This window comes from Homo sapiens, chromosome 1 (assembly GCF_000001405.40).
Source record: "Homo sapiens chromosome 1, GRCh38.p14 Primary Assembly".
Taxonomy (NCBI): Eukaryota; Metazoa; Chordata; class Mammalia; order Primates; family Hominidae; genus Homo; species Homo sapiens.
In genome coordinates, this window is record NC_000001.11 from 240,768,312 (window position 1) to 240,782,077 (window position 13,766).

The 13,766-nt window shown below is 40.5% G+C and overlaps 1 protein-coding gene and 1 pseudogene across 22 annotated transcripts in view; both read right to left on the bottom strand.

Moving 5' to 3' along the window:
* Nucleotides 1-809: 809 nt before the first annotated feature.
* THAP12P8 (THAP domain containing 12 pseudogene 8) lies at nt 810-3,230 on the bottom strand (annotated as a pseudogene).
* The window catches only part of RGS7 (regulator of G protein signaling 7), a 582,489-nt gene continuing 575,153 nt past the window's right edge, over nt 6,431-13,766 (bottom strand). For 13 of the 22 annotated variants that reach the window (NM_001374806.1, NM_001374811.1, NM_001374814.1 and 10 more), the window contains one exon: nt 6,431-7,902. Coding sequence is in view for 12 of the 22 variants with exons in the window: in NM_001374811.1 (NP_001361740.1) it covers nt 7,852-7,902 (51 nt within the window). In the remaining 10 variants the exon portion in view is untranslated. The remainder of the gene's footprint in view (nt 7,903-13,766) is intronic. The other 9 variants (NM_001282773.2, NM_001282778.2, NM_001282775.2 and 6 more) reach the window with 1 other exon arrangement.

The following is a 13,766-nucleotide window of genomic DNA, read 5'->3' on the forward strand; positions in this document are numbered from 1 at the left end:
AAACATTGCTTTATCCATTATGTATCAAGCACTGTGCTTGATGATTTACATTATCTTCATCCTTTCAACCAATACTGGAGGAAGATGATATTCATCTTTAAAATATATCAAACATGCTCAGCTTTATTTCCCAATAAATGTGAAATGATTAAGGTCCTATAATCTGATTAAGATATCAAGATTAATCAAATTTTTTAAACAAAATTCGCATTTTATTTAGATTGATATAAATTATAGTTTATTTTCTTCACCAAAAAATAACTGCAATATTTTCCGTATTTTTCTAGATAAGCCAATACACTTATATTTGTAGGTTTTCCGGGTTTTTCTTATAAATCAAGATGAGGCAATAGGTAAGAGTCATGAAAAAAGACAGAAAAAAAAGATAAATCAGTTGTCAGTATCCATAGCCTCTGATTCTGTCTTAGCCGTGAAACAGAAGTGGTCAACATATACTTACTAAAAAAGCTTAGGAAAATGTAGGCTCCACAAAGGAATATAAACAGCAACAACTAGATGTGGAACGACAGCAGGCTCTTCCATTCAAACTTTAACTGTCATTTGTTCCTTTAAGTTCATTTGTGAAAGATAAAAATCTACCCTGAAATCCTTGTTTGGCAAGCTCACAAGCGTCTCTTTCTCTGGTAATTTCTTGTAACTGTCCAATATAGATTTTTAACATACTTAAAACTCCTATTAGTGAAAGGTCAATTGTGGGCTTCACTGTAACATTTTATAAAATGTATTCCTTCCTCTCATACCTCTTCAAAATATGTTTCTTCAAAGAATTGGTAACTCAACACCCAAGGAGCAGAGATCCACAGTGATAATAAATGCGGTGTCTCAAATGACTTAAACAATTGCAGAGTGCCACCCACAGAGATCATGCGGAAGTGAAAGATGACACTTTCAATGTTCTGTTCTGGAAGAACAGACAGGTCTTCAAAGCATGCGGGTTCAAACGGGCCATTTAAACAGGTAGATTATCAATGGCTAATGTATTCAATGGAGGCCTACAGGCAAAGATATTAAGTGATTAAGGCCTACATACACCTTATGGCTTTCCTTCCAAATATCGAATATAAGAAAGACTATTTTTAAAAGTCTCAGGTATTTTCCATGGTTTCTGAATTATCTGTGGGAAGCTCTGACTTACTGTTACAGAGTTTAATATATGTGTCCACCAATAAATCCAGGTCATGTTTTATATCAAAATTTATGTTAATCTAAGCCAAGTTACTTGACCTTTGGTCTGTCAAAGTGTTCCTCAAGTATGCTTTAAGATGCTTTCGTCCATTTTCATACTGCTCATTCTCAACCTTCATCACAGGAGAAATACACAGGACCTTTGGCAATAGGTCATTTAGCATACACATTAGGAAAAAACTTGATGTCAGGCAGATGGAGGGCTTCATAAATGGTGGACAGAAGCTCTGTGTCTTTCCCCATTTCCATTTGATTCTCCAACAATGAAGCTCGGCTGAGAGCATGTCGGGATTGGGTAAGTCATTTCTATACATGTCAGCATGGTGTTCCTCCGATGTATTGAATTTGAGTTGTCCCATGACTGAGGGTACCAGAGATAAGCATTTACGAGCTTGGAGGTGCTGTTCTGCGATTATATCTTTAAGTTCCTGAATAATGTGCTCCACTGTTGGGACACTTAGGATTTCTTTATAGTAACTCTCAGAGGTTAGCTGAGATTCCAAGTTACGCTGGTAAGCTCTGCAATATTTCCCAGGGAGTTTCATTTGAATATCAAGTTTGGTTGCCAAATTTGTGGCTTCCTCAAATCAAAATTCCTGATAAACTTCAATATTCTCCGTCACTTCACTGAGTGAACGCAGTGCTGCAGTCAAGCTACTGGCTGCAAAGAAGACATCAAAGGTTTGCCCCTGGAGATTTTTCCCAAAGGCTCTGGTAAAAGATAGGACATTTTTAAGAACAACAATAGTAACAATGAAGTCAAAATCTGTTACTGCACTGCAGAGTACAAATGCTCAGCCAGCTACAGTTATTCCATCTAATATTTGTGTCACTATTTATATCATCTAAACATAAAACAAATGCTTGCAGAAGTTCCACTACAATTTCAAAAACATCATGCCTGCCTGTCCACTGAGAATGGCAGAGTTCCTTCAGTTCTTTGTCCCTTTCTTTACTGTTCTGAAAAAGAACAGAAATTACATTGTCAAATTCTAAAAGCAGTTGTGGTGATTGATGGAAAAAAAGAACAAACTCCGTCAATTGTTCCTGATGCAACAGATACTCCCATAACAGGTACTGATTTTACCAACCACATATTTAAGACGCAGGAAGAGCAGAGTGGGTAGATAGCTTGGGGATATTTCTCTAAAAGTCTAGAAGCAACAACTTTCATTTTGGAAGAAAATCCAGTAGACAAAATGTAAGCTTGGTCATGACAGTACTCCATATTTAATCCCCATTTCTCAGCTATCATAGTGTGAAATTTCACAGCCAAAACTTCTGCATCAGCTTCATAAGGCAGGAAGCCTACAAATTCCCCTCTTATGTTTTGAGACTCATCAACAAACCTCACCGAGACTCATCAACAAATCTCACCAACATAGGTAGGTGCCCTTCCCCTGCCATGTCCGCTACATCGTCAGTTATAATGGAAAAGAAGTGTGAGTCTCTCACTTCCCTGCATTCTTCCCGAATGCAGCTCTCACAGATCTCTAGCATCTGCCTCTGCTGTGTTTTTAATAAAACAACATGTTAACTGCTGTTGTCTCAAACTGCTTTCTCAGGACCTCTTGACCAGAATTTATCCAGCACTCCAGCACGGCTTGCACGTTATCTGGAGTAAAGAGACCTTCTGGGATTTCATCAGCCTCCTGTCCATCAAGAGGTATGTTTTGCTTTCCCATCAGAATCAAGATTTCAAACAGAGATTTTAGGTATCCTTTGTTTTCCTTCTTTTCAAGGGTTAGAGGTAAAATGTCCTCATCTGGCCCTTCACTCCCTTCTTTACTGGGGTTCGGAGCATTGCTGTTGTTGGTTTCTTTATGTTTTTGTTCCTGTTCAGAAGTTTCATCAACAATTCTTTTATTCGTTTTCTGGGTCTACTAGGTGGGTTGTTCAAATGACCAGTAAGAGCAAATATTGTTGGTATTGCATTATCTCATAGAACTGTCCTATAAGGACTAGTTCTACAGACCCCAGATGTCTCAAAATGTTTGGCACCTCATTGATCATGTTTAGCTGATCATCCCTGGGGCTGGGGAGGGCAGCCAGGCCAGCCAGCGCGCAGGGCAGGGGCGGGCGGAGGAGAAGCCTGGAGGAGGCTGACGGGAAGCCTCGAGGAGGGGCACCCCGGTCCGAGGCTGGGCTGGGAACGCTGCTCCACAGCGCTGTGAGTGGCCGGGAGGACTTACCGCCACCACCGCTGCCTCTGGGGCATCTCCCACCCGCCCGGGATGCTGCCGCCTCCTTTCCACAATGCCTGTTGATCAATTTTTTAATCAAGAAGTATTCATGTCTACCCAGCCTCTAATGACTTTTTTGAAAATGAAGTTACAAACACAAAGCACATATCAGCTCCAAAAACTCCTCAAAATATCTAAGGGCGTCTGCAAGTTTTTCTTCTAATCTGATTTTTAAATGGAAGCATCTTATGTTTGATACAAAATTTGATGTCTTTTAAAAAATGAGTTCTAGAGCACAACATTTTCAATAAAAAGTACAAATGTATGGTTGTACAATAAAATGTATAAGATACCTTTTTTGTGTGTGTGTAATACATGAATGTAGTTCCTCTCTATTCTTTATGCTCTTTAAATTCTTCATTATTATGCACTATTTCTTAAAATGGCCTAGGGAATGGATTGGTAGCTTTGGCTGTTTCCTGCTGACGTTTTAGAGGGCTACTAAAATGTGCAAAGAGGTAGTTACAGACAACAGTAAAACAACTAAATATTCAATGTGCCCTTTCAAATGTGTATTTAAGGACACAGAATCTTCTGTGTGGAGACAATCTGTGCATGCAGCTAGACTAAATGCGTGCTAGCAGCCAAGACTTGCCTCTCTCAGTAGACCAGAATTATTCATAAACCATCATGTAAAGAGAAGTGAGCAGTCAACCAGGAGAACCAAGGGCACAGCTGTGAGTCCTGAGTAGCAAGATCAAATCTCACACACTCATTACGAAGAGGGAGGGTTTGTGCCTTCATTTATTTTTGGACACAGCTTAGCTAAGGTTGCTGGCCATATTTCTGTTATTTTGATTCAAGCAGAAAATCCTGTGCAGATCCACGGAACACATTATTGTAACATCGCTCAGAGGAGAATTGGGCCAATGCAATTTAGAGGATGAAAATAGCTCTGCAACGTGGTGTAGAAACTCTGGTTTATTGGAGGATAACTTTTTTGATGGTCTCAAAGTTAAAAAAAAACTTAAAAACAATTTTATTAAATAGAAACTTGAGAGATTTTTATTCTATGCCTTATAGATCAAATGATTTTAGCATGGGGTGCGAGGCAGATGCCAAGGGCTTACTGGAGTGAACTGCAAGCAACTCCAAAACTTTTCTGTGCTTCTCCTGAAATACTCTTGCTTTGTATGTGAGTCGTGTCTAGGCCACATTAAATGGAGTCATTAGGCTTGAGTAACTTGAGTAACTTTTTAAATTAGGAATTCTTGACTTGGGGTTTCTCTTTTCTGCCGTCTTTTTCTACGATTGAAAATGGCAATAAGGACGAATTTTTCCATGATTTGGAATTACCAGGAAGGATGGACTTCTAAGGACTGATAGCTTGTGAAAGATAACCACTGAAATAACCAATCGTATTTGTGCAAGGCTCATTGTTTTAACGCCATATTCGTCTTATAGGATTATTGTTTTCCTTAAAAGAATGTTTCTACTAACTAGACTTTTAATCTAACTTCAGTGCTGTCTGTCCAAGACTGTCCTGAATTAAGTGATTTTAAGGGATAAAGTCTATCAATTTAATTTATTTGCATTTTATGGATTCTTCTTTTTTATTAAAAAAATGTTTACAGTTTAGATTATAGCTTATATACAAATTTCTCCTATGAAGTCTCTTCCGTTTTGTGACAGTTTGATTAAATAACCAACAGACTCCACTGCTGATTTATCACCAATGATAATAAATTTTTTCAGAATTTAAATTTATCTACAGTAAGTAACAGGCATTAATAACTTGGTTTCTTTTTTAAATAACCAGAGTCTGCAATGCCTTGGTTTATGCAAAAGCAGACAGGTCAGGCCCATCTCCTGGCTGGGTAACCTTTTTTTGCCACTGATCCAGCCCTTAAAGTGAGTCAAGTTGTTTACTTGGGGGTCCATGGATGAGCTACAGAGATTAGTCTGTGAATATCCTAAAATTCAGTACAACTGTGAGTTTACGTAAATTTTCACATAATTTTTATCAAAAGAAGTTTGTGGTATAATGGATAGGTGGGCACTATAGTGTACCCTGCAGTCAGACTGCCTAGATTTATATGATGATGGGCTTTGTGAGTTCTATTCCAAAATACGGTACCTTGGCATATTGAGTATTTTAAGCTGAAGAAATTTGAGAAATGGCAGGTTCAGGAAGGACTCTCTGGCCTTCCCTTGAAGCAGGTCATAAGACCCTCCTGTGAGAGATGCTCTCCCTATACCCAGAGAAATGGAGCATTCTTCTCCCTGAAGATGGAGGGGCGCTGAAGGGAATCTGAATTAACAGGCGTTGCTCAGTTTCCCCCAGTTTACTGCCCTTAGCACCTACGCCTCTGCCCTGTCACATTTTCCCACAACTCTTCATCAAACCTAGTATAAGAAAACACTCAGGTTTAATCATTTTTTAAGGTATTCATTTCTTAATGAAGTCTCCCATGTCACATAATACTTTTTTTTTTGAGACGGAGTTTTGCTCTTGTAGCACAGGCTGGAGTGCAATGGCACGATCTCAGCTCACTGCAATCTCTGCCTCCTGGGTTCAAGTGATTCTCATGCCTCAGACTCCCAAGTAGCTGGGATTACGGGTGCCAGCAACCACGCCCAGCTAATTTTTGTATTTTTAGTAGAGACAGGGTTTCACCATGTTGGCCAGGCTGGTCTTAAACTCCCGACCTCAGATGATCCACCCGCCTCAGCCTCCCAAAGTGCTGGGATTAGAGGCGTGAGCCACCGCACCTGGCACAAAATACTTCTGTTACGTAAATTTGTATGCTTTTCTGTTGTTACAGAGCCACAGCTAAGAACCTAGAAGGGTAGAAGCAAAAGATTTTTTTCCTCCTGTATAATCCCAATCCACTACTTAGGTAGGTGACTTCAAACAAGTTACTTAACCTCTCTCTGCTTCAGTGTTCTCAAAATTGCAGAAACGATCTTATAGGACTGCTGTGATGGTTAAATGTGAGAATTTTGAGGGCACAGAAAACTCTTAATGAAGTGGCAGGTACTTAGTAAGCGTCACTAAATTTTACTAATTACATCACACAGTCGGCCCTCCTCGTCCACAGGTTCCATAGCTTTAGATTCAAGCAACCTTCCAACAATAAAAATAATAATGCAACAATTAAAGTTGTATTAATTAAAAATACGGTATAACAACTAATAGCATTTACATTGTATCAGATATTACAATAATCTAGAGATGACTTAGTATGTGGGAGGATTTACGTAGTTTATATGCAAACACTACACCATTTTATATTAGTGACTTGAGCATCTGTGGATTTTGGTATCTGAGGAGGTCCAGGAACCAATTATTTCCCAGGGATGCCAAGAGGTGACTGTATTCTCAAAATAATCTGTAACCTCCAAAAAGTTAAGAGACACTGAGCTATGATATTTTTAGAATTGTGTTTTAAAGAACAAATCAGTACCTGATTTAATAAGTCACACTCAAGCTTAATTCAAACAGAAATATTAATTTGCAAAATATACAGATGCATATTCATCATGAGGCAGAAAGGCCTTTTAAATAGCTTTGAAAATGTGGAACATCAATTTGTGTTGTTCTTCCATGGGAGAAAAAGGATTACTAAGTCTCAGGTAAGCCTCCAAAAAATATTTCCATCTGCCCCTGGCTTCCGTACTATCCAAGCTTGTCTTGAAACCTTGAAATAAATTTCAAGGTGACAACCTAAATTTAACTCTGCGGTAGTGGGTTGTGGATTTCTCAGCATTTTCCTTTTTAGTTAGCATGGAAGTCAAAAGTTACAAAAGCAATGAGATTCTGCATCTTTTAATGAAAGATAAAACAACAATATAAACATACACAAATTTACAGAGAAGGGATCAACTTTAATACATTTGGAGTAAAAGGTGTTTCTTCTTTAAATATGGTATAAAAATAAATGCGAGAAACATTAACGGAGAATGTACAGACAACAGACGAAGACATGAGTTTGTTTCTGACTGTGACACATTGGTGAAATGAAACTTTCTGTGCGGAATTTATTGTTTAATAAATGTGAAGCCACATGTATACTTATTGATATATACTTTTTTCTTTTACAGTTCTTCCAGTTTTTGACTGACTGAATTTTCAGTGAACTGTGTGTCTAACTGAAGCTTTGAGAGAGAGAGAGAGAGAAAGAAGGAAAAAAAGAAAAGGTTTTACTTCACTTGAACTTGTTAAAAAGGAAGAGACACAGATCCAGCATAGTAGAAGGAGAAAGAAAGCAGACAACAGTTTGGAATGGAGGCATTGAGACGGAAGAGTCCATTGGAGATGGAATGTACACACAAAAATAACAATTTAGGTCCTTTGCTCATGCAACATCTTGTTCTAATGTCCTCTGCTCCAGGTCACAACATTGAGCTACAAAGTGTGTGCAGTGACTCCAGTCTGCATTCATGCTACAAGATGATCCGTTTAGTAAGACTGAGCAAGGCTTGTTAACCTCTTGGACGTGAGAGATTTCCCCTGAGAAAATATATAAAACAAGAGAAAAGAAAGAAAATCAAGTACGATCACTGAAAACCTGCTTAGTAGTAGCAACTATTTACTGTAGCTGATTTTTGTGCAAGGTCAACACTGAACCCTTTAAGTCCATCTTAGTTCAAACCTCATGACCAACCTGCCTTCCCCCCTCCCTCCCTCCACTGACACGTCAAACAAAACTATCCTCCCTCCCTCCACCCTCCTACCCCTCCCAAATCCTTCCTCCCCACTGCAAACAGACTGATGGTTTCACAGCACAGATTAGCAAATCATAAAACATATCCATAAATGCTCCATCAAGGCTTAGCAATGAAGCAACACCTAGGTTCCCAACTGATTATAAACATGTTACAACAAATCTTAGTAAGCTGCTCTGAAAGATAATGTGAGTGCATTCTTGTTCAATGGCTGAAATTAATGTCACATTTATAAATATCTAGAAATGTAGAGGATACGATTTAATTAAATAAAATGCAGTTTTTGAGGGTGTGATTCATGAAACTCAAGATTGAGTCTGTTCCCTATCTTACATAATAATGGATAAAAAGGTGCCAATTATATATCTGAAGATAAAAGTCTACTTGTTCCCTGTTTCTAGCTGTTGATGTCTTCCTGTTCTTTCCTACCTGACTTCTTCCAACCCTAATACAAGAAAAAATCTGTTCTATTCTGATTCCACAAATCATATGATTACATAAAGCACATACTTATGTTTTAGAAATCTTGTAAGTCAACAGTGTTGCTGTTAATCACAAGTACTCTAGAGAGATAAGAAATTTGAGACCGGGCGCAGTGGCTCACGCCTGTAATCCCAGCATTTTGGGAGGCTGAGGTGGGCAGATCACCTGAGGTCAGGAGTTCGAGACCAGCCTGGCCAACATGGTGAAACTCCGTCTCTACTAAAAGTACAAAAATAAGCCAGGCGTGGTGGCGGGCACCTGTAATCCCAGCTACTCAGGAGAATCACTTGAACCCAGGACGCGGAGGTTGCAGTGGGCTGAGATCGCGCCACTACACTCCAGCCTGGGTGACAAGAGCGAGACTCTGTCTCAAAAAAAAAAATAGAAATTTGAAACGTTTGATCGGAATGCAAAACTGCTGGTTTTCATTTCATGTCTTATTTTATATGTTCTATTATAAAATTATGTGGGCCAGTTATTTAATGAATTTTTGTACATCTCAGAAGATAAGTAAAAATTAAAAAATTGGAAACATATATTTTAGTAATAAATCACAGTCATAGCAATACTCTTGATTTGCTACCTAATGTGGCTCAGTTTTAGAAAGGGGTCAGCGGTGATGGGAGATACATCATCACTCATGGCCATTGCCTTAGTCTGTTTGGGCTGCTATAACAGAAAACGATAGACTAAGTGGCTTATAAACAACAGAAATTTATTTCTTATAGGACTGGGAAGTCCAAGATCTAGACACTTATAGATTCTTTGTCTAGTGAGGGCCTTCTCCTTGGTTCATCAATGGTGCATTCTCGTTGTGTCCTCAGATAATGGAAGAAGGAAATAAGCTCCCTGGGACCTATCTGATAAAGGCTCCTGTTCATAAGGGCTTCACCTTCATGATCTAATGACCTTCCAAAGGCCCTAACTCCTAATACCATCACCTTCATGATCTAATGACCTTCCAAAGGCCCTGACTCCTAATACCATCACCTTCATGATCTAATGACCTTCCAAAGGCCCTGACTCCTAATACCATCACCTTCATGATCTAATGACCTTCCAAAGGCCCTGACTCCTAATACCATCACCTTCATGATCTAATGACCTTCCAAAGGCCCTGGCTCCTAATACCATCACCTTCATGATCTAATGACCTTCCAAAGGCCCTGACTCCTAATACCATCACCTTCATGATCTAATGACCTTCCAAAGGCCCTGGCTCCTAATACCATCACCTTCATGATCTAATGACCTTCCAAAGGCCCTGGCTCCTAATACCATCACCTTCATGATCTAATGACCTTCCAAAGGCCCTGGCTCCTGATACCATCACCCTTGAGATTAGGATTTAACATGTGAACTTGAGCGGGAAGGGATCACAAATATTCAGTTCATAGCAGCCACATTTTTGGAAAAAGACAATATGTTTAAGAAAAGATTAATAATTCCATAATCAACCTGTCTTTACACACCATATAATTACTGATAAGGGCCCTTTTGCTGATATGAACAGCAGCAATGAAAATCATGCACCATTTTCTCTTAATTTTTTCTTAATTGGGAAAAAGGGTCCACAACTTAGCTTTCAGCATCTGAGAGTAGAAGATATTAAAGTGGTTTTTGTTTTGTTTTGTTTTTTTGAGACGGAGTCTCACTCCGTCGTCAGGCTGAAGTGCAGTGGCGAAATCTCGGCTCACTGCAACCTGCACCTCCCGGATTCAAGCAATCCTCCTGCCTCAGCCTCCAGAGTAGCTGTAACTACAGGCACCTGCCACCACGCCTGGCTAATTTTTGTTATTTTTAGTAGAGATGGGGTTTCACCATGTTGGCCAGGATGGTCTCGATCTCTTGACCTTGTGATCCACCCGCCTTGGCCTCCCAAAGTGCTGGGATTACAGGCACAAGCCACTGCGCCCGGCTGATATCAAAGTTTAATGCTGGCATTTCCCACTAGGCTTATGTTTATTCACTTTATGGGAGAAACAACAATAAAAGAGAAAACAGTTTATTAACAACAGACCCTGCTTTATAAATAAAATATGCACTCCTGCCTGCTCTGGTCTGTCTGTCCCCCTCAAAGCTCACATGTTGAAAGCTTACTCCCCAGTGTGATGCTATTAGGAGGTGGGGGCTTTGCGAAGTGACCATGTATGAGGGTGAAGCTCTCATTAATGGGATTAGTGTTCTTTGTGTGTGTGTGTGTGTGTGTGTGTGTGTGTGTGTGTGACAGTCTCACTCTGTTGCCCAGACTGGAGTGCAATGGCGCAATCTCGGGTCACTGCAACCTCCGCCTCCAAAGGCCCCTACCTTTGGAGGGCCTCAAATTGCTTGAGTTGCTGGGTTCAAGCGATTCTCCTACCTCAGCCTCCTGAGTAGCTGGGATTACAGGCATGCACCACCACGCCCGGCTAATTTTGTACTTTTAGTAGGGCCAGCTTTTGCCATTTTGGCCAGCCTGGTCCCAAACTCCTGACCTCAGGTGATCCACCTGCCTTGGCCTCCCAAAGTGCTGGGATAAGAGGCATGAACCACTGCGTCAGGCCTAGTGCTCTTATAAAAGAGGCCGAAGGAAGCTTGTTTGCCCCTCCCACCAGGTGAGGACACAGTAGGAAGATGGCTGTCTATGAACCAGGAAGGGGGCCCTCATCGGACACTGAATCTGCCAGCATCTTGATCTTGGACTTCTCAGCTTCTAGAACTGTGAGAGATAAATTTATTTTGCTTATAAGCTACCCACCCAGTTTGTGGCATTTTGTTATAGCTGACTATAACGGACTGAAATGCTGCCTCCACTTCTATGCCTATTTCCTCATCTGTAAAATGAGGATAATAATAGTACTTATTTTCAAATTTTGTTGTGAAGAATGATACAAGTAAATTGCTTAAAATTATTTATGGATCATTTTGTGCACTCAGTTTACGTTGGCTATTACCTCATTATACTATCATTATAATTATTAACACTATCATTATATGCTCTCTTCATTAAGATACCCAAACCCAGAGTCACTATTCTGACTCTAAAAGGACAGAAAGTTATAAATTAAAAGCTAAAATCATACTGCTTTTCCACCCCAATCCTGGGCAATAAGCTAATCAAATGATGTTGAAATAAAAAAGATTCAGTTCTTAAATACAATGCCATTTCCTGTGTTTACTACTGTAGTCTCTGTGCTATGAATAGAATTGTATACACATGTGCATATATACCTATTCTGAGACTGAACAATTTATATTTAAAAAGTGCTTACTTGGCTGGGCATGGTGGCTCATGCTTGTAATCCCAGCTCTTTGGGAGGCCGAGGCGGGTGGATCACTTGAGGCCAGGAGTTCAAGACCAGCCTGGCCAACATGGTGAAACCCCATCTCTTCTAAAAATACAAAAATCAGCTGGGTGTGGCGGGGCACACCTGTAGTCCCAGCTACTCGGGAGGTGGGAGAATCATTTGAATCTGGGAGGCGGAGGTTGCAGTGAGCCAAGATAGGCCACTGTACTCCAGCCTGGGCTACAGAGTGAGACTCTGTCTCAAAAAAAAAAAAAAAAAAAAAAAAAAGTGCTTCCTCTTTGTGGGATGAAGGAAGGTACACATCAGTACACGTTGTTGAGGCACAGGAATGAATTCTTATATAGTAGAAGACTGGGGAAAGATGCTGATATAAAACTGTTTCTTTTAAAACTACAGATTAATGTGATTTGGTTCAAAATTCTGGGAAGAAGAATGGGCCGGGCGCGGTGGCTGACGCCTGTAATCTCAGCACTTTGGGAGAGCAAGGCAGGTGGATCATGAGGTCAAGAGATCGAGACTATCCTGGCCAACATGTTGAAACCCCATCTCTACTAAAAATACAAAAATTAGCTGGGCGTGGTGGTGCGTGCCTGTAGTCCCAGCTACTAAGGAGGCCGAGGCAGGAGAATCGCTTGAATCCGGGAGGTGGAGGTTGCAGTGAGTCGAGATCGCACCACTGCACTCCAACCTGGGTGACAGAGCGAGACTCTGTCTCAAAAAAAAAAAAAAAAAAAGAGTGAAATAGTTACATTGAAATTGGAAGCCATTTGAAACTCAGATACAGTCATTTTTTTATTTGAACAATGACATCTACTGTTGTCTTTATCAATTTATAAAAAAAAAAAAACATGGTTCTCTTTCTATGGTTTTGTTTTTATTTTTTCAAATATCCTCAAATCCTCAAAGCTACTAGTACTTGGCCTGATATGGACTTCATTAAAAATTGGATGATACAAGTTAAGCCCGACAAACTCTTGTCCCAGGAAATAATTAAAAAATACTTTTTCATAGCAGCCCAGAGAGAAATACAGGCCCACAGTAAACCTGGGGCTTTGTGATATTAGCATAACAATGGGCAAAAATGAGAAAACATACAGGTGTATTTTAACAACAAAACTCTGTGTGGACCAGGCGAGGTGGCTCAGGCCTGTAACCCCCGCACTTTGGGAGGCCAAGGCTGGCGGATCACCTGAGGTCAGGAGTTCGAGACCAGTCTGGCCAACATGGTGAAACCCCATCTCTACTAAAGATACAAAAATTAGCCAGGTGTGGTGGCAGGTGCCTGCAATCTCAACTACTCAGGAGGCTGAGGCAGGGAGAATCGCTTGAACCCAGGAGGCGGAGGTTGCAGTGAGGTGAGATTGCGCCACTGCACTCATCCTGGGTGACAGAGCGAGACTCTGTCTCAACAAACAAACAAACAAAACCTCTGTGTGTGGTATAGATTTATCAAATGTGCAATAAGGATATTTGTTTTGTATATTGAGACAACTAAAAGGCAAACTTGGGTACAACTAACAGTTAACAGATCTTGGGCTGGGTGTGGTGGCCCACGCCTGTAATCCCAGCACTTTGGGAGGCCGAGGCAGGTGGATCACTTGAGGTCAGAAGTTCAAGACCAGCCTGGTTAACATAGTGAAACCCTGTCTCTACTAAATATACAAAAATTAGCTGGGCATGGTGGCGGTCACCTGTAATCCCAGCTACTCGGGAGGCTGAGGCAGGAGAATCACCTGAACCTGGGAGGAGGAGGTTGCAGTGAGCTGAGATCGCGCCATTGTACTCCAGCCTGGGCAATAGAGTGAGACTCCGTCTCAAAAAAAAAAAAAGAGATCTTAAGTGCAGCACTGAGGTCAAAGCAGACAGCATGGATGCCCAA